Source organism: Homo sapiens, chromosome 13 (assembly GCF_000001405.40).
Source record: "Homo sapiens chromosome 13, GRCh38.p14 Primary Assembly".
Lineage (NCBI taxonomy): Eukaryota > Metazoa > Chordata > Mammalia > Primates > Hominidae > Homo > Homo sapiens.
In genome coordinates, this window is record NC_000013.11 from 102,383,305 (window position 1) to 102,404,882 (window position 21,578).

The 21,578-nt window shown below is 40.4% G+C and overlaps 1 protein-coding gene and 2 long non-coding RNA genes across 17 annotated transcripts in view, besides 1 other annotated feature; 1 reads left to right on the forward strand and 2 right to left on the reverse strand.

Moving 5' to 3' along the window:
* Positions 1-11,215, reverse strand: part of FGF14-IT1 (FGF14 intronic transcript 1) — a 102,200-nt gene extending 90,985 nt beyond the window's left edge. Inside the window, exons 1-2 of the long non-coding RNA NR_036486.1 lie at positions 11,050-11,215; positions 10,454-10,527 (exon numbers count right to left, since the gene is read on the reverse strand). This is a non-coding gene — a long non-coding RNA (FGF14 intronic transcript 1). The remainder of the gene's footprint in view (positions 1-10,453; positions 10,528-11,049) is intronic.
* The window catches only part of FGF14 (fibroblast growth factor 14), a 691,640-nt gene extending 672,501 nt beyond the window's left edge, over positions 1-19,139 (reverse strand). For 4 of the 15 annotated variants that reach the window (NM_001321939.2, NM_175929.3, NM_001321941.2 and 1 more), the window contains exon 1: positions 18,167-18,744. In NM_001321939.2, coding sequence (NP_001308868.1) covers positions 18,167-18,374 — 208 coding nt within the window. In that variant the 5' untranslated portion in view covers positions 18,375-18,744. Of the gene's footprint in view, positions 1-10,453; positions 10,528-18,166 lie in introns of all 15 variants that reach the window. The other 11 variants (NM_001321944.1, NM_001321943.1, NM_001321947.2 and 8 more) reach the window with 10 other exon arrangements.
* Positions 11,121-11,350: an enhancer, noted in NCBI's record as "active region_7964". NCBI's record gives its function as "activates an Ori minimal core promoter by ATAC-STARR-seq in GM12878 lymphoblastoid cells {active_cell/tissue: GM12878}" and the evidence as "EXISTENCE:reporter gene assay evidence [ECO:0000049][PMID:35858748]".
* FGF14-AS2 (FGF14 antisense RNA 2) lies at positions 11,274-12,401 on the forward strand. Its single transcript, NR_036487.1, has one exon. It is a non-coding gene; the product is annotated as an FGF14 antisense RNA 2 (long non-coding RNA).

Sequence of the window (21,578 nt, forward strand, 5' to 3'; positions counted from 1 at the left end):
TATTCATTAGACAAATATGTTTATTTGTGGTGAAGTAAGCATATTTAAAAGAAAAAATGCACAAAGGCCCTAAAAGCATTGTCAATCAGCTTTGTTGGACAATAAACCAATTTCCAGTCATAACCTACTTTGTAGAAGTAATAGCTATTACTATTTTCAACATATTACTATCTTTTCAACTTAAAAATGTACCCAACTTATCAAATGCTATCTAAGGACAGCCATGTACTCTTCATTCTGTTTGGAAATATTCCAGTCCAAATCTATTCCTAATCTGGTCCAATGAGTAGAATCTCCTGTCATGACTGGCAGTGACAAGGAGAGAAAGGGAATGGGAGAAAAAAGGGGAATGAGGATAGATCCGTTTATTCCTCCACCTCTATCAATCACTGCTTTAGCTCCAGGATTGACCATCCCCAGCAATTCTTCATTTTTATCCAACTTTCCAGTGCCCTCTAATCCCCTTGGGAAGATTAAGACCCTGTCTGATTCATGTATCACCCATGGGGCCAAGCGCACTCTCCTTCATGTAGAAGGAATTCAGGAAGGGTTGGGTGTGAAATCAACTATCTGAAATGGGGTATCACACATTAAAAATGTTACAAAAAATTTTAATATCTTTTTTAAAAGGAGACCAACTCTCATATGTTAAAATGTAATATCAGTTCTCAGTCATGGTGTTCCAATTACTCACATGCCATGATCAGACGCAAGATGTTATTCAAGTAACTTGTTAATAATAAAAAAGTTCCAGTGTTTTTCAATGTTTGTTTTTTCTATAATCAAAATGTATTCAAAACTATTTTTCTAGTAGCATTTCTGTTACATGATTTATAATTTTTTTTTGAGATGTAGCAAAAAAGGGAAGTTAAAACTTGTGGGTAGGAAAAAATATTTATAAAATTGCATTAGACATGAGAATATTATCTATCATGTGTGGCAAATTAAAAAATGGCTGCAAATCTGTCTCTTGTATTACACGACAAAGAACTACTAGAGGTATATTTGGGAGGTACAAAGGATAAATATTCTTGATAAGGTAAAACTCTCAGATTTCACATATCATTATGTCTACTGGAAGGCAAATCAACTCAAATTCCTACCCCTCATTTATGTATACTTGTCATTCTTGGTACTCACCACACTCTCTCATGCCCCTAAAAATATTTAAGGTTTACTGTTTTCTCTTTCTTGAACAATTACCTTGTGCCTTTCCTACCCGACTAATCCTCAATCATTCTTTGTGAGTCAGTCAGAATTTTATGCCCTGCAGGAAGCCTGCCATGCCCTCCTCTTGAGCCCTATAGCATCAGAGCCACAAAAATGAAAGATTACTCTATGATATTACTGTACCCTACAATACTAATCAGAAAAAAAACTGTTAAATGTTACCCTTACAGATACATGCCACAGTCTACATATTTTATTTACTGTTTTATTAAACCATCGCTTCTGATCAACTTGGAGATCAGCTCTCAAAGTCATCACAAGTTGATTAATTTTTAAGGAAGTCTTGGAATCAAAACCTTTGAATCTCCTCCCTGCTTACAAAGTATCTAAAGGAAAACTAAAAACAAACAAACAAAATAAACAAAAAATAATGCAGGACAGCACCTACACCAGAGATTTTCACCTTTTGTTCTTTTACATAAAAGATTAATAAGGAGATATGAAAGAGTCATAGCAGTCCTTAGGAGACTATAAGGTAAAAGTATTGGCAACTATTGTCAAGTATGTCTAACCACATACAATAGAAATCAATGATATACGATATGTTAAAACTCCTGCAATGACCATATGGAGACAGCAGCCAACAGAATTATTCAGAACATTTTTCGTTTCCTCCCTGTGAAGTTTTGAATAGCCTAAAGACTTACTGACTACATATTTTTTCTTTTGCATCTTATTTTCTGCCTTTCTTCTAATACCTGCTAGTATACAGAAAAATCATGGTATCAGACAACCCTGAACCTATAGAAGAACCTATAATGTAACTTAAATATACCACACATTTGGAGATTCCAACACTTACTTCTAAGTTATCTATGTGGCTTACTTACTTATGAGAAGAAGTGAGTAATAGCTGGTTATACTGTACCAATGAATAAATACCAATAACCAAGATGCCTGACTAGTAAACCTGATACAGGAAACAGACATACTTAAAAATGTCTTGTTCTTCAATTACATCCTATTCTGTAGATCTCAGCATCTAAATTTTAATTTAAAATAATCTCAACAAAAGCTACTTGAAAGCCATGAAATGAACTGATGTGGATATGAAATATCATTTTTTATTTTCAAAATCACAAATTTAAAACACAAAAAGTTATTTTTGTACTGAACCCACTTCTAAGCTATTTATTTCTGTCTTCAAATTACTATTAATATCAATCCTTTCTGAGTAGCTCTCTTGGGTGAAAGATTCTAATGGCCAACAGATGGGGTAAGTGCACAAACACTTAAAATTTTGTCCCAAGCTAAATGTCTGGCATACATACACACCCATAAATACATTCAACTTGCTTTGTATTTGCCTTTCAAATTGGGAAAACTCAAACAAAAATTTAACCTGTGAAGTACTGTGTTAAAGCAGTATTTCACTATTTAGCAGCTTAAAATACAGCAATTTTGCCATAATGTAATATAGCGTTTAGGAAATAAATATGATGTGTTTTACCCGAACGTCACTTTTACACAATTTTTGAAGTTCCTTGAACTTACACTGGCATATTTATTAACAGTACTAACTCTTATTATTTTCCTTAATTTTCTTGTAATTCTAAAGGGGAGGGAGATAAGAATAGCTCCCAACAAAATATACAGTAATTTTTTTTTTTTTTTTTTTGAAACGGAGTCTTGCTGTCTCCCAGGCTGGAGTGCAGTGGAGCAATCTCAGCTCACGGCAACCTCTGCCTCCTGGGTCCAAGTGATTCTCCTGCCTCAGCTTCCCAAGTGGCTGGGATTATAGGCATGTGCCACCAAGCCAGGCTAAGTTTTATATCTTTAGTAGAGATGGGGTTTGCCATGTCTGCCAGGCTGGTCTCGAACCCCTGACCTCAAGTGATCTGCCCGCCTCAGCCTCCCAAAGTGCTGGGATTACAGGTGTCAGCCATCGCGCCTGGCCCCTACAAAAATATTTAAAAGTATTTCTACCAATTATAAATTTGAAAGGATACATAAAAAATGGTCAAAGATTTGTCTTACATTAAAACTGTAACACTAAAAGGAAAAAGCATAGTCAGGCAAAAACTGTTATCAAGATACGCTGACATAATGCCTCCTTCTGCTTTCAATAACAAAAGCGAGAGTAAAGTTGTAAGACACAGAGTGAACTGAATGACCCTGACTTCCTTTCCTCAGGCTCTCACAAATACAAGTTAGTTGGCACCAGAGAGGCTGGGTAGGAAACTGTGCACATTTCCATATGACACAGATTTGTTCGTGACTCCGAAGTGGCACCTCTACATGGAAAGGGTGTACATTTTACTTTTTCATTCAAAGTTATGTTCATACAAAATTCAAACCGTTTATTTAATGCTGCAGGATTTAGTACTGTGCAGCTGTCTATTGCATTCGCACTCATTTGCGAAAAGTTTGATTAAATCACTACTCACTCACCCACTAAAATGACAGAATTCAGGTTTGTGCTGCCAATTTGCTCCCACCACAGTATGTCTACTACTGCTATCACCACCTAAAATGGACCCTTCCCCTTCTTGTATGAATCATGCTTGTGGCCCTATAAATACCAGTCTTATAAACCATGATTTCCAATAAGGATCCTAGTTTTAAATCAAAGAAATTGCAACTGCTGAGAATAAGGCATTATTAGTTACATTTTTATAAAATTTGAATAGCCATTGAGAATTTAGTTGCTCTCATTTTCACAAAAGTTACCTTCCTTAAAATATCACTTTATAAATTTTGTGTCATTCTTAAGCATTCAAACATCCAGGAGCCAGATACTGACCCCTTGAAACACAATTCAAATTTTATAACAGAAAAGAGTAAGGAAAGCAAAAATTATTTCTAAAAGTTGTGCTTTTAGCCAACTGTTCCTTAATGTGTATCTCCTCTAAGCAATGATCATAAAGGTTACTAAAACATATGATCAACACTAGAGCCACAGCAGCATGCTGGAATTCTTACAGAAAAAATAATGGTCCAAACTGGTTAAAAAAAAAAAGTCCTTATATCCAAATAGCCTATGACATTTTCAGTCCTTCTTAGTTGCAGGGCTTTACTAGAAAACATCATCATTTATTTTTATATTTTTAAACTTTTCTTTTAGGTTCAGGGGTGCATGTGCAGGTTTGTTATGTAGGTAAATAGTGTATCACAGGGGTTTGGTGTACAGATTATTTTCTCATCCAAGTAATAAGCATAGTACCCACTAGGCAGTTTTTTTTTTGTTTGGTTTTTTGAGAGTTTTTGGGTTTTTTTGAGATGGACTCTCGCTCTGTCGCCAGGCTGGAGTGCAGTGGCACAATCTCGGCTCACTGCAACCTCTGCCTCCCAGGTTCAAGCGATTCTCCTGCCTCAGCCTCCTGTAGCTGGGACTACAGGCGCATACTACCACGCCCGGCTAATTTTTGTATTTTTAGTAAAGACGGGGTTTCACCACGTTGGCCAGGATGGTCTCGATCTCTTGACCTCATGATCCACACGCCTCAGCCTCTCAAAGTGCTGGGATTACAGGCACGAGCCACCGTGCCCAGGCCATAGGTAGTTTTTTGATCCTCAACTCCTCATCCTCCTCTCTTTCTCCACTCTCAAGTAGTCCCTGGGGTCTGTTGTTCCCTTCTTTGTGTCCATGTGTACTCAATGTAGAAAACATCATTTTGCAGGGAAATAAAATGCTGCTAAGAAGAGTATGTCAATACTACAAAGTTGTTCAGTGTATCTTGAAGAAAGTAGTCAAAGCCATTCTCCCCTTATTTAGAAAGCCAGTAACGTCATCAGGGCTAGCAAAGTGACTCCAAATTGCATAAGAAAATTAAAACTACAAAGTAGGCTCAAATTGTATAGAAAGATGTATAATGTATGCTCAGACAACTATCAACTACATGTAACAACAACATAAATGTACCTGCTAACTAGATTTCCTATCTCACATTCTCAACAAACCATCTATGACTTCCAAAAGTCGATGGAGGCCACTTTCCCATGAGGCACCACAGTCCACAGTTGACTCCCATGTCTCTCATTTACACCTTCTGTTTCACGCATCCTTCCAGGTTCCAAGAAAGCAATGCCCTTCCTGGCCCACAATTTCTCAACGTATGCCTTCGATTCATCCCTTCCTAATTACTGAGCAATTTCTCTCCTGCTCATATTACATACCCAGAACCATCCCTTCATCCAAGCTCCTGTTTCCCATTTCGAACTAACAGAAGGACATTTTCATTTTATTGCTTTCTTAGTACAAAAATCCCTCCTTCCTCCTAGTACTGCCCCTCCCCACAATCAGTTATACAACCCAATTATAATTGAGCCATTCTCAATCATGTCGTTTCTCTTTTTGGAAAAGTTCTCTAGTTCACTAATTTTCACCACATCCCAGCTAATTCCTCTACAAGGCTTTTGGACCCCAAAATATGATTTCACTAAGCCGCTAAAATATGATTCCATTAACTTCCCATAACTCCCAATCATGTACCTTTCACTCTATCCATAAATAATCCCAGCCTTTGACTTTCATTCACATTACTCCTCTTGCCAAGAATATGCTTATCTCTCCTACCAATAGAAACACACATTCAAGAGTCAACTTAGGTCATGCTTCTCTAAAAGATTTCCCCTTCTTCCCCTTCTTCCCCTTTCATCCTCGATGAGTTTTCTAGCAGAATTCTTTCTCATATCTAGTATTCTCCATACATTTAGTTTTATTACTTGTGGGTCAAAGACCAAACCTTTATAGAATGTTTTAAATCTCCCCCAGTAACTAACATGTAATGTTAACATATCACATATTAGTTACTTAATAAATGCAGATAAGTTTATCATATAGGATGTATACTACCTTCTCAAAACTTCATGATCGATTTTAAGATAATTTCCAAATAACAGTTATTTTTCTAAAGAGTAAATACATCAACAGAGCAGTAAGCATGGCAGTGCCAAGAGAAATAGAAAAGGAAGAAAGAGTTACCTTGCAGAAATAGATTTAAATGAGAATTTTCTCATGGCATTACTGCACATCTTCTAACAGCTTTTGTACCAGACTGTCCTTGCAAAAATATTTGCATAACAAACCACCTTGTCATCTAGAGATGGTGCCTCCCTCCAGGTTAGAGGACAGATTTGTTTCCTGACCAGGATAATAAAGATAACACCTCCCTGCAGAGAAAGATTAGGCAGCTTTGCTAGAAGCCCCTTAAAAGATTGGGAATTTCCTGATATGGCTGCATTACAGACCACTGAGCAATGACACAAATCCGCTGTGAGCAAGCATCCACCTGAGACACTCAGCATTGCCCCTGAAAGGATTTTGGGACATACAGGGAACTGACAACCACATGAAGCTCATGCTGTCTTCTATGCTCTGAGTGATAAAATCCCCTGTCTCTGACCCAGGAGTCCCCTGTCTTCTGCCAGCATCATGTAACTGCAGCAGACTAGCAAGCTGGGTAAACTGTGAGACCCTTGGTAGTTCCTGAAATTTTTAGATGTTAGGAGTTTCCGGTTTAAAAAATAAAACAGAAGCTACCATGTTGAATTCTCCACGTCTAACATGCAATGTCATATCCCGGAAACAATATGTTGAGTGAAAAAGGCAAACTCAAAAGTGTGAAGACTTCATGATTTAATGATATGAAGTTCTACTATAGGTCAAACTAAGGGGAGAGAAATCAGAATGGCGGTTGCTTCTCAGAGTGGGGATGGGTAGGAACAGAATGGAAATAAGAAAAATTTTGGGGGCGGGTGATAGGAATATTCCATATCTTAACTAGGGTAGTGGTTACAATGATGCACACAACTGTTAGAATACATCAAGCTATAAAGTTAAGACTGTGCATTTTAATGTATATAAATTATATCTCACTAAGAAAGCATTAAAAATTCTAGATAGCTAAACAGTGAATATATCACAGTCCCTTTTAGTTTCAGGACAGAATAATTCACAAAAACATTAGGAGAAATACTGATCACTTTCACAAGCATTCTGTTCAACATCCTTTCTAGAGCGGTAGCTGCAATTTAGGGATTTAAGAGTATGTATTCTGGAGTCAGATTACTTGGTTTTGGTTTTATACTCAGATCTTTCAGTTACTAGCTAGGTACTCTCCAGTAACTTCCTTAATCTTTTCATGCTTGGGCTTCATAATTTTTAACAGAAGTATAAAAGATTTTCCTGTGATTTTAAAGATGAAATTAGATAGTATAGGTAGAGTGCCTAGTATATAGAAGCATTCTCTAAAGATTAGTTGTTATCAACTAATAATAACACAGGATTCAAAATAATTCAGAACATTTCTGTTAAAGCAAAAGAGTAATATAATTTTAAAAATCTAGTAAGTGTAATATACATTCGTTAACGGGAAAACTAGGTGAGAGATTTACCATGCCCTAAAAGTCATTTAATTATATAATCAAATAATGCAGTAGATCCACATCACCGTTCTTTTACATGTTAATTTGAAGTACAGAAAGAAAAAACTTAAGCCGAATAAATATCATTTTGGGTAAATGTTTCAAGTTCAGACAGATGTTTCTCATTTACTCTCAGACAACTATTTTATTATTTTGGGTCTATTTTCCTAATGTAATGAATGTAAAAGAGGTAAATCCAATTGAATACTAATCCTGATCTTGCCTGAAGAGTAAGTTGATGACAAAATTTTTGAAAAACATGACTAAAAAATATGTAAAAGGACAAAATCTAGAATCGGATAGTACAAATACAGGGAGAAGGAGACAAAGGGATGAAATATCAGTACTGGAAAAGCACTTTGCTACAACAAAGGGCAAGCGGTCTGACAAAGCTGGGCGGACTTTATGGCTGCATATCAGACCACATACTAACTATAGCATTCATGTCACAGTTAGTATCCCCCATACAGAGTCACATCTGCCACACATGTACCAGAATGGCCTCAGTACTGTGTTGTTTAAAATTATTCCCAACATTTTAAAAGAAAACTAGAAAAGAGATAATAATAAGCAATAATGATGTAAAATTTTTATCCTATATCAAATTTCTTAACTGCATCATTAAAATATCTCTAACATTTGGTACTGATCTCATTAAAAGTATTTCCAATATTTAACAGTCATTATTATTTGTCTGAGATGTGAGGTATTTTATGTTACTTGTCATGTGAGTTGAAAAAATTTTTAAAGGTACAAGAAAAAATAATCAAGTTAATGGAAAACATCACTTCTCAGGAAACAAATCAACTCATTTAGCAATGAAGGAGGAAAGAGCATATTGTGTTACTGCTTTCAATTTGTCCCAACAATAAAATGCTAAGGCCAAATGATGGTTACTACTGAGTGCTTACGTAGAAAACTGACTCAGTTCTCCTAGCAGACAGGGTCCTTTCTTTGCTTAAAAGTTACAACACCTGGTATACAGCAGCAATACAACTAAAGAAGATGAGTTTCAGACTACAAATAAGTGGCTGTTGAAACAAAAAGGACTACAATTATGAGATATGATTTCTCTTTTAGTCTTTAAGCCTTCTTATGTTCATATTTCTTAAAGTACAATATTATACCATGTGCTCCACACAGGAAGTGGAAAGAACAGATATTACAATCCCTCCCAAGCTACACCTTTAAGATGCAGCATTACAGATAAGGTTACCACACACTTCAGTGATCCACTATAATTGTGCAGACAACAAAATGCTACAGGAGGAAAAAAAGGCATTTTAACTACATTCATTCCTATCTAAAAAAGCACGTGTGCAAACTTACATATGTAAATTCAATAAAGTTCATACTTCCTTCTCTTTTCTTGCCAGACCTGAATAGTAAATCTGAAAACTTGGCTTTTAATTGCACTACTTGACTCCTCAAACTGAACAAAGTATTGTGTCCATAAAAACATCTGCTATTGACAAAGAATTGTACATAATCGTTTAAAAAAATCATTTTGGCATATCTTTATTGTAAAGCATTTTTTCCCAGTCCTAAGGATTTTCGGGTTTGAAATCAAGATGAACTTTTTATCCCACAGCAACTCTCCCAGAACTGTCCATTTAAATTTTAATCTAGAAAGAGAAGCTTGTCTAAGTCTCCTACTTGCTGTTAAAAGCTACCTCGGCCCCTCAATATAAACAGTCAGAAGACAGCCAACCATGTCTCAAGAAGATGGAAGTGTTCTGTTGGCAAATGGCCAGAAGACTAGCTCACCAGAACTGTCCAAATCAAAAACCTGTAATCAGAAAATTCCAGACTCCTCCTTCAACTTCCTTCCCAAATTCAAACTGGCCACTAAGATGGATGGACTTCACTTCCTCTCTAGTGCCTGTCACTGCCTTATTCTGGACCGCTCACCACTGCTCACTGCTCTTCCTCCCTGGTCTTTCCACCTTCAACCTTGCCCAACCCAGAGCTGTTTTCCACGCTGTAGTCATAATGGTTGTCTAAAGGGTAGATATGATCATGACACAGAAGAGAGCTCACGATCTGTGCCTCACTACCTTGCAACCCCACTCACTACCTGCCACTCCCTAGAAACACCCTCTATTTCTCAGTTGTACTTGATATTCTCGGTCTGCACCACAATCTTTGACGCCCCCAAAGCTTAAAGTATGCTTCTTTCTCTTCCTTGACAGCCTAACCAGTGCCTTTACCACGTGGCTAACTCTTAGTCATTCTTCATGACTCAGTCTGAGTTTTATTCCCTCCAGAAACCTTTCCATGCCCCTCTTCCTTGGCCCTATAGCACCTTGGTCCACCTACACAGAATTGTTCACCACATCATAATTGATCCTGTCTTTTGTCTTTCCTGCTAATTCCTTGAAGGAAGAACTCTTCTTCACCCCTGTATCTCCAGCATCAACAGTTCAAACACAGCAGCACTTTTTAAGTGTTTACTAAGTTTTGTTTTTTGTTTTTTTGAGATTGTAGTTACTGAAAAAGTGATAAAAAGCACGTGGACCTAAAAGAAATAATTCATAAATTTCAGAGTTGTAATAAACTCTGAAAATAATCTTTTTCAACTTCTTAATTTACAAATGAGGTTTATAAAAAAGATTTAAGAAAGATTTTTCCCAATAGCATGGATATGAGAGAAGGAAAAATAAACTAGTGAAGATACCCTCCCCTACCCCGAAAATCTTAAAACTGTCTAAGGAAAAGGTATCTGGGGAATATAATGGATAAATGGAATGCCATCTATTTCAGCACCAACCACACAATTCTATGAAGCGCATGAGGAGCTCTTCCTAGTGTCACCAGTAAAATACGCGTTTCTTCACCCAAGGCTCAAAGCTTCTACCTGTGTTTGTGCCTACAATTCCAAAACTGGCTCTTGGAACAGTCGCTTCCTCCACTGGGAAGGAGTTGCCACACCTGTAAAAGGAACAGGTTGTTTGTGATCGCTAAGGTCAACCTCTTATCTCTGATGGTCTCTGAATTTAGAGTACAATTTAAATATATAGTTAACATAGTCCGGGAGAGATACAGGGAAGGGGTGAGGGAAGTTTACTTACAATCAGGACTGGGTGTGAACGTTATGGGAACCTAGAATATTAGAGCTGGGGCTGATCTGGGATTACTCTAATCAATATCCTTCTTGTAGTAGCCGAGGGGACTGAAGCCCAGAAAACTTCAGGACCCGCCCAGGGTCTCCCAGTAGCTAGTGTGTAAGCTGAGACCAGAACTTGGCTCGTTCTCTCCCAGTCCTGAGCTTGGGCAGAATCACCAGCAACGCCAGCTCCCTTCCCTTTCCTTCAGATGGGTCTCGGGTCCAGAGCTGGCGCCCGCTAGCGGGAGGCCAGACCGGGAGGGCCAAGGCAGCCACCTGTGGCTTTCCCATCCCTCAGGTCCAGCAGTGCACATGGGGTGCCCCCGCGTCAACGCCGGAGGAGTGACCTTGCAAACCCGCGCCCCGCGGGCGGCAGAGCCGGCCGCTCACTGCCCGGTCCCCGGCCACCACGGAAGAGCGAAGATCTCTGCCAGGGCAGGAGCCCTAGCCCCGACCCGCGCCCCAAGTCTCTCCCGCGCGGCGGCTTCCGGCCGCCATGGTTTCCATAGCAACAACAGCACAAGCTGCCGGGTCCCAGAGACGCCCTAGGGTCAGAGGTCATCTCCGTGGCAACGGAAACTTCCCGCGCTACGGCGGCTCCAACGGGCCGCTTCCGCCGCATTGCGTAGCGAAGCCCCCGGCGAGCCGAGGCTGGGAGCGCGGTGATGGCCGGTCCCCGTGAGCAGAGGGCAGCGGCGGCGGGACCGGGGACTCTGGGCCAATGGGTAAAGCCAGGAGGAAGCCCGTGCCTGGCCCGTTGGGCTCCCTCCTCCTCAGAGCCGAAGCAGTCCACACTCGGAACCCAGCTTCACCCGGATTACCGAGGGGTTCCACGCCTGGAGGCAGAGCTGCAGCGTGGGCCCGCTCGCGGCTTTGCAGAAAACAAATAATGACACACTTCTCTGGAAGCCCGGGGCCTGGGCCCAGAGCCGTGGCTTCTGCCAAACTTTCTGGTCCCGGACACCAACTCCCCGCCTCTCAGCCCGAGGCCACAGCGGCCCAGCACCCTGCACCTTTTAAAGTGGCTCCAAAAAGGAGAAAGCCAAATAGATCAGGGTGGTAGGCGCGAGTGCAGGGAGCTGCGAAGTTGGAAGATTACTGCTTTTCAAACTGCCAAAGAGCAAAATACTAAGCGAGAAACTCCGTCCAAAGCAACTGGAACTCGAGGTTCTTTACTAATGAGAGTTCCAGTTACCATCTTCAGAGAAAGGAGCTCAAAAGAGGGAGTTTATTTTTTGCGGAATGTCTTCCTTGTTAAGAAGAAAATTAAAGATTAAAAAAGAAAATGAAGGGTCTGGCAACTATGAACCTAATGGTGCCCTAACGTTTGCTATTCTAAGGCCGAGAATGCCAGATGGGGAGAACGCCATGAGCTTTTGAGCTTGTGTATTTTGCGAGAGGCTCGAGTGTGAACAGTAGACTACAGGCCTTGAGACTGAGAAGGAAGCTATAAAATGTGGGCCAAGGGAATGTCTGCAGGACCGGGTTTCAGAGCACCCTATCGTGGCGGATAAAGAGCCACTAACAGCTTTTTTCTTTATTTAGTAGCCAAATTCTTGGTTGGCGCTTTGAGAAAGGAGTAAGCATTAAGCGAATTTAACCAAGTAAAATGTATCGTCCTGCCCTTTGTAGTCCCATAGTTCACTATCCTAGAGATACCTATTTTTCACTATTTTATTAAAGTGTATTGAAAACCTACCATGTGTCGTGAACAGAGTTTTTGTCAAGAGACAGTGACAAAGGCAGTGGTGCCCAGCAGTTGTTGGGTGACTTTCTTACATGATGTTACCAGACTAATCAAACAAGAACTTCACTGTTCCCTATAAAACATGTCTGCGACATTCATCCTTTTTGCCTTCAAGTTTAGGAAGTCCCTAAGAATCCCTCCTTTTGTTCCCTTCTCTTCATCATCCTACCTTTTACATTCTGACCAAAGTAAAAAAAATAGTGGCAGCTAGAGAACTACACAGGGAAAACATCAGGACATAGTTGGTCTTGATACAAAAGAGCTATTGCATCTCTAGAGGTATACGGGGAGCTGAGAAGTCTCCCTCAGAAAACTCCATGCCCTTCAGTACCCGGGTTCAACACATAACTAAACCTTGTACCTGGTACACAAGTCCTAAGGAACACCACACAGACTATGGCAGTGAGCAGGCAGATGTGTAAATAGGTGTTTCCCTGTCCCTATTTACAGGAGGTAAATAGTATTACCTCCACAGTCCCTCCTGGAGGTAATACTGAGTTGGGCTCAAAGGTTTTATTAAAAATAGGCACAGTGCAATGACTTGTTTAACACTGAAGAGAAGAGCTCCTGTTAGACTGTTCAAACAGCCCAACTGTTTCCCCTTAAGGCAAAAGACACTATTTTGAATAAATGCTTCCATTTTGAGACATCTACGTGGTATTTATAGAAGGCGTATGAGTCAATTTGAGTGAGGTATGATGCCAAAATGTGCAAAGGAGTGAAAACATTGGTTGTTGTCCTTGTTACCATATGTATAAAAACACTTCACAAAAGTCTCCAATGTTTGTGTTGCTAAAACATGGAAGACTGGGTTCGAACATTTTAAAGGAATGGTTCATTGTAGGAAACGTGAAGTATAGTATAGAATTAGCTTTAGCACTTTCAGAAAGTACTGCATCATTTGAACAAATTTTCTCAGTTATGGATGCTGTCTAAGATGAGAACAAGTTGTACAGCCAAAGTCATCTTCATTGTTAAAACTAAGTTTAGATTATCATGCATTGAATTTTACACTTATTAACTGGGATATACATTTCAAAAAAGAAAAATCTACTCTCCCAACAAGGCAGTACTCCGAAGCCTACCTAAAATGCCATCCTTTGGTTCATGGAGTGGCACTGCTCTACAAAACCCATTTTGTTACCTCAGTAAATAAGCTTCCTGGATGGAGTCTAAGGCCAACTAATACTACATTGAATCCCACTCTACAGCCAAGCATGTTAGAAGAAGCAGCTTACATCTGTTTGCTGTTCCAGACGTGCAGTCTGAATTTGATGTTTTCATTTGAAATATACTCAGTGTTTAGACTTGCAGAGGTTGTGGCCCATTTGTGGCTCACCCAGCTCTACTGGAACCTAGGATGAGTCGGTAGGCTGAGAAGGAGGGGAGTAAAAAGTGCTCACTCTTCTTCCCTCTCTTCCTATTTTCTCACTTCCAAACACCATGACAGCCCTAGATGTAAAGCAAGTAGCTTTTTAAAAAAACGTATATTTAAATGAGTAACAGTGGCATACCAGGTGTTTTGGCACCTAAAACAGCTTAGTGAAAGGCAAAAGCAGAGCTGAAAGGCAGCCAGACAAGTAGGAAATAGAAAGTGATCATGGGTCCTACCAAGCCCTGCATGTTCCACCTCAAAGTTACACGACAGAGCGGGAGACTGAGTTCAGAAAAAGAGAATTGATGGAATGTTCTCAGTGTGCTGTGCAGAACTAGGTCTAGGGCGTCTGCTTCGTACTAACACTGGGCACTGACATTTGTACTCAATAAAATCCTCTTAGATTATGATTTATCTTAAAATCTGTGTTTTCCAAAATCCTACCAAGCCATGGAAGTTTGGGGATATCCTGTGTGTGGTTGAGTGGGTATATCTATTTGAGGGTCTGTGGCTTCCTTTGCTTGTTTTACATTATGTGCCTGAAGAGACAGCAATGACATGACCTTAGTATTTATGTTTATTGTGGATTTTCTTTTTTCAACCACACTTCTTTCCTTAGTACCCTTGGCTTAAAGTGCAGTGACCTAGATTATTTCCAGAACGGGCCTATTATATACATTGGTCAATCCAAACTATCATACTGGTTTAAAGAAACCTATGAAGCCTCCTTCAAGCAAAATAAATGCCTTGGACTTAGTATTCCCTATTTAATGATTTGCCTAAAATAAAGTCACCTTGCATGACTCCTACAGTGAAAGTTGAAGCAGGTAACATTTATTCTAAATGCATAGCTGTTGCTCTGCTAGGAAAGTAGGACATTTAAGAGTGTGTGTGTGTGTGTGTGTGTGTGTGTGTGTGTGTGTTCTCTGATAATAGTTGTTAGACTGGGTGTTTTAATGAAGATAGCAAATTTACTTTATATCCAGGACTTTTAAGCTATTGGAATTTATTTTAAAAAGCATATATTGTGCAAACACATTTTTCATGTTCTCTTCCAGTTAAATTTTACATAAAACAAGCCCAAAACACTATTTAATGAAGACCTCTTATATAAGTATTAATAATGAGCTAATCAATAACTTTTGGGTAGATGAATAACTTTGTCCTTAAATTCGTAACTCTATTTTCTGCTTATTTTCACACCAACTTGATTATATAGCGGTGCTCTGAAATTCCACGAATGCTTGAACCACCTACACTTGTTGACAGTTTAGCGAATTGGAAATAATCAGTAAATTATTTCATAACTTCCAAAGATATAGGAAGGAAAATTAACCTATTATTTATCTCTGAAATAAGAATAGGTGCTTTACACCAAATTCACTGGTATTTGGCAGTATTCTCCCAAGTTTCTTAGTTTGAAACCAGTTAATTGTTCTCTTTTTAAATTTAAGATAACATAATAGGTAGTAGTCAATCTGTTCCTTTTGGCTGTAACAGTTAAAAGAATTTTAGTGTTTGTTTCATTTTAATTACCCAATTAACTTTTTAGTTCTACTGCTATTTTGGGATCAAAAACCTGCAAAAGATTTTAGGCTTTATGTTACTAGCAGGAGAATGGAACTCACGAAGTACAATAGTGAAAGGGAATGGCTTGGCATGGGTTCGATTCAAGCTTAACAGGCTAAAACTTTTAGAAGGTAAGATAAATAATGTGACACATTAATGTCCCATTTAAATATATATATTATATATATGTATAATATATAATATATATATATACTAAATGCTCCAACTCCCTGGTTGGAACTCATATCCCTGGTTATCTAACACTAAATTATCCTATTAGAATAGTTGGTAATGTTCTTAGATACACTTTGAGTTAGCCCATCAATTCATACCCAAATACTTTAGCATTCATAAGCTGCAAAATGAATTGTTCTAAAAATAAATTGTCATTTGTTCCACAGTTTCCAAAAATGCCTTGGAAGGGGGGAAAAACTATTCCAGAGAGATGAAAGTGGGTGGGATGGAGGAAGTGTAATAAGATTGTGACTCGTGTATAGGGAGAAATTTAGTGTTTCCGGTAAAATTGTTTACAAAAAAAATTATAAAGGCCTACAAAGAAACTTACTGTTCTGTGCTAAATTATTTCCCACTCTCCAGTACTATGGAAGGACTGACTTCAAGGTCCCTAAGACAAATGGTCACATCTAAATAAAAAATGTTTTTGCACTATTCCTTTCTCAGAAGAGAGTTAAATCTTTTCACAGAAAGACACAAGAAGGGTTCAAAAGACCACCATTTTTGCAGTGTAAAGCAGTCACCCCTGCCCTTCCCACTGCAGCCCTTGGCCTTTCTCACTTTGAGAAGTCTTGCAAAAAGGGTCTTCATATTAGGCTGTGAGATAGTGTTGCAGATGTAAGTTGGTTTTGTATGAACCAAGCGTCAGCAAGTTTTAGGTTTGATGTCGGGGACTTGGAGTACATCTTGGGGTACACTTCATAGCTGAATTAGACATGCGGGTGGAAAGGTGACAACACTGTTTTCCCCTTGGGCAATTCTCAGGTTGGTGTGTCGTTTCAGAGTTGCTAAACGCTGAGGAGTTAAGAAGAGAGGAGGGTAAAAGGACGGAGGAGGAGGAAACAGATGGGGTGAATAGAAACGGTGTAAGAACTAGAACACAGGGAGGAGGACTCAGGGCAGAGCCCAGAGCCCACTGCAGCACCGAGTCCACGGAGCAGCCAGAGGCTACTACCAGAGCCTCAATTGCCACCCCAAAGTACCAGCTGGGGGCAATCTTCTCCGCCCCAGCATAGGAGCCTCTGCCCTTTTAGACTGTCTAACAACTCGCAGTTTCTCCTTTGCTGCAGGAATGGTGGCCGCAAACGGTCTCAGCCTCCGCACCCACCGCCTCCGTCCCCGCCCACCCGCACCTCCTCCTCCTCTGCCTCGCGCTGCACCCGCAGGCGGCAGACCCCTCGGAGCGCGCCACCCCAGCTACGTTGCATTGGCAAGGTTCGGAGGCTGGAGGGCAGCAGCCACTTGCTGCCCCAGTCGCTGGGGCTCTGGGTGCCAGTGCGGCCCCCGGCAGAGCCCAGGGCGTCAGGGAGGCCGTGGAGAGCCATGATCTACTGCACCGCAGTGCCAGCGTCAGGAGCTTCCAGAGCCCGGGCTGCCACTGCGGGACGGCCGATCTGCCCGCTCCCTCCTTCAGACACAACCCCAGACAAAAACAGCCGGCCCCGGGTCCCTCTCCACCCTGAACGGAGCTAGGGGACGCCACACACTCCCGGCTGCCAGCGTGAGCGGTTCCGGGAAAGGCTGCGCCCAGCCTCCTCGCCAGCGCCGCCGCCACCACCATGCAGCCCTCCAGCCTGCCTCCCCTGGGTTGCTCGCCCACAGCTCCGCGGCCGCCCCCAATCGCCTCGGACTGAGACGCGGGGACGGGAACCCCTGGGATCCGACTCCCCAAATCAGATGCATTTGCATTTCTTATGTAATGTACTGCAAGTTCCCTTGTTGGAGCCCTTTGGAATCGGGGCGCATGATCACCAGTAGGCTTAAAAGCAGGAACTCACGGCCTGGCTCATCCCCACCCCTGGCCCTGTGGGACCCCGACGCAGGGCTTTGACACCGCTTTCTAAAGGGGGGGACTTCAATTACAAATATTAGAGGGGCTGGGCTTGTCCTCTCAGTCTGGGGTTCCCTCCCGGCGCAAGCCTTGCTCAAGTATTCCCGGTGGCAGGATGTGTCAGAGGCAGACAGGGGGAATGAGTTAATGCTCGGGCACCCGGAGCTGGACGGGGGAGGGACGCGGGGGCTGACGGAGGAGCGGGGCCGCGAGGGAGGGGGCCTCTTTTACTTTGGTAAAGGTGATCGTGGTGGCGAATATTGTGCAAGCTAATCAGAAAGTCTAGAGCAGGTTCTCGGAACCCAGCTACGTCCCTCGAACCTGCTGCAGAAGTAAGGGGAGCTCGCGGTTCTTTTTCCTGGCAACTACCGAAGCTTCAGCTGCCTGGGGCACAACCTTAAGCCATAGCCCTTCACTATTCCACCAAACATAGGCAACCAAATACATTAAAAAAAAAAAAAAAGTTTCCTCCTCCCTCCTAGTGATGGATTGTGTCACAGCCAAGGGATGCCAATAATGGTTTTGGGGTTCGTAGACGCCGATCCAGCTGTTACTTGTTTATTCATGCAACACCTCTATATGCAACACTGTCCTGGTTCCTGGTATGTTTCCCCTGCCTTCCTGCATAGCAGAACTGCAGATCTAGCTCGATGAGCAACAGACAGGTTATTATGAGGAAAAACATAACATGATGCATGTTTCGCTTACCAGTTGGGTTCTTGTTTTTCTTAAGACTCTTGCCACAAAGACACTGCAGCATATGCGTTCCTTTGCTGAAAATGTTCCAAAGAAACCACATTGATTTGGGCGAAAAGCAATCCAGCAGCTTAGACACCCTGAGAAAGAAGAGATCCTTGTGGTTGCATAATAATAATTTGAAATCAGTTCTCCTGAAGAGGGGCACCGGTTTTACCATAGGAAAAACGATAATATTCCGGATCTTCTCCCAGTTTTTTCCCCTCACGTGGTATATTTCTTTGAGACTTCTCAGTGATTGTTTGTTTTCGGCCAGGGTGAATGATTTATCCCCCCTCGATCACCACCGGATTATTACCAAAGGGTTGGAGAAAAAATCCTTTTTCAGCATGAAGCCAAACAGAAAAGCAAAGAGATCCCAACTGAGATCAAAACTAATCAGGGAGAACAGTAATGCACAAAAGATCCCCAAAGAGAAAACCATAGCCTTTTTACTTGATCGCTATGAGGATGGGTGGATCTGCAGAAGGCAAAGCAGGATTCATCTTACTGAGAGAAGACTGCCATTGTGTAGCCCCTAGGAGAGAAGGAAAAAAAAAAAAAGAGGAAAGAAAGAAAGAAAAAAGAAAAAAAAAGAAAAAAAAACACCACCACACACACTCACACACCAATACCACCTCCGAGATTGAGTCTGACAGCCGAAGACAGAGCCTCCCTTCTCCCAGTGTCGATTTTTTTTTATAATCAATCGCCAGTGCTCAGTGGGATCGGTTTGAACCTGCAGTTCTCAATCACCACGAAGAAAAGATGCAAATTTAGGTGCCCCCTCCCCTTGTCAGTCTTGTAGTAGGTAGAGAGCGCCACAAATCCCCTTCCTCCTTCCTCTCACTCTTCCAGTTTCCAACAACCGTGAGCATGAGGAAAATCTCCCCTCCGGATTCCTCGCCCAGCCTCGGATGTGAGTTACAGGCATTAGAGGGAGGAGGAGGAGGAGTTGAAGTTTGCATTGAAAAGACTGGCTTTCCATGACGTAGCCACGTGCTTTCAGACCCGTCACCAGTGAGATGCTTCAACCAGCCCAGGGAGGGCAGTGTCACTGCAGTCTCTCTGCTAGGGCCCCTCCTGAAGTCTCCCCACCCGCCAGCTCCAGCCCCAGCCCCAAACCCAGACCCAACGCGCGACCCTCTCCCTCCTCCGCCAAGCGCCAGTCAGCCTGCTGTTTGCTCTTGGAGCCAATCTGACAGCCTTCTATTAAAAGTGAATTTTGAAAAGTAAAAATTAAAAATTATAATGAGTAAACCTTAGAAAATGCATGTTGGGAGGTTGGAGGTGGGGGGGAAATAAAGAGAAAAATGGGTTTAATGCTTCTCCACCCAGCCAAAATCAGTTCCACCTTCACATTTTCAAAAGCAGCATATAATGCACCTAAAACATTAAGGAAAACTCAAGTTCCTTTAATTCTTATTATTGGACTCCTACTTGAGGGGCTGTTTGAAAAATGTAAACTAGATATATAACAGATATTACCAGAAACCGCCTCTTAAAAGGACAACCACTAAAATCTAGGTGGCAAACTGTACTTTTGTGGGGAGGGTCATGTATACATGAGAAAATGTATGCCTTTTATAGACAACACGTTACCTTTAAATAATTGTGCAGAAAGTCCCTGCTTAAATCACGCCCTAATTCTTTGCATGTTTCTGCACTCATTAATTGAGCTAACATTAAATTCACCCTCATTTACTTCTCATCTGCACATCTCACCTACACTAATCCAACCTAACAAAACAGGCAAGTTTTCTATTTTCACCAACATATAACCCAGCTTCCTACTTGCCCAGAAAAATCAAAGGATTTCAGACCAAGCTGTTATTTTATTTTATTCTACTTGGAGGAAAATACAATGTGCAAAGTGATACAAACAATTACAAAAAATAATATAACAAACTCCAGAGTACCCGCTACTCAAAAGTAACTTAGCATTTCATCATATTTTTGAGATAAGGATTTTAAAGAAGTAAAACTGACCACTCCCATTCTCTGTAGGTAAATGAATTAAACTTATGCCAGCTTATTTCTATTTTTATAGGTAAACTGACATAAAAATTTTAACTCTAATTTAAATATATATATTTAGAAGTTTCTTCATAATTTCAAAAAAATTAAAACTACTGCCTCTACTGCATGGTATATAAACTTAGATGTCGATTTATATAGTTGAGGATTGATGGAAAAGACTGATTTGATTTTAAAAGTTGATTTAAAGAAAATCGACTAACTCCTTGATTATCAGTTGTCAAAAAACAAAAAATGGAATAAACATCTTTACCACTTTTAGAGTTTTCTATTAGTTAGGATGCTAAAATTAGCATTGATATCCTGACCTTCTGGGAAACATCAGTCAATTCTAGGTAAGATAGAAGAATTTAAAACCAGTAAATCCCATAAAGGTTAAGACATTGGAAAGCTATATCATGATGGCCTTGATGTGTCAAAAGGATCATGTCATACAGCTTTTAAAAATTACTACAATTTAAATATGGTCTAAAAAGGTTTGTGAGGTAAAGAAATAGAGAATACTAAAAGTACCTGAATGTAATGCCAGTGACTTACTAAGAAGAAACAGACTGAAAAAAAAAAAAATGAAGAGTGGAATTCTTTTTGAAAGAGGAAAAATGGAATAGCATGGCCAAATAATTAGAAAATAATTTTTATATCAATCAGAGACAGATACCATATGCTGCTTCTATAACATGTTGGTGTCTCCTAGGGGGTTCCAGAATATCCCAATATATTATCACTGGGCAAATGCCAGAGAAATAGCTGAAATATAAATAGGCCTTCCAAACTCACAGGCTCTGATGTTATGTTAAAACTTTCTGAGTTCCCTGGAGTATTTCACAAATAGAGTAAAATTTGGGGAAATATTCTATAATTATTGGATCTTCTTAAATGCTAGTTTGTTATAAAGACAGTCTGTCTCAAATCAGCTCTTCTTGAATATGAGAATTTGACTTTCTTCTCTGCATTCTGACAGTGAATTTGTTCCCTACTGAAATAAGGAATAACTGCCAGAAAACTGTCATTTCTTTTGCTACATGTTGGTGAAAAACTTCTTTGACTTGTGACCTAAGGAACAATATAAAAGACAATTAACTGTGACTACTATTTATTGAGAATCTATTATGCCAAGCAATGTGTTAGTTGCTTCTCATATTTTATACTATTTAGAGGAATGAGAAACTTTCTTATGATGTATAACATTTTGCTCTTTCTGCACTTCTTTCCTATATTTATTGATATATTATTTACTTAGGTTACATAGGCTACTATTCACATCATTAAACCCCGCAAAAAGCAATTGTTTTTGTCTGGAAAAGATGACTAACCAATTAAGGTTACTTTTGGTCTAAAGGACCCTCAA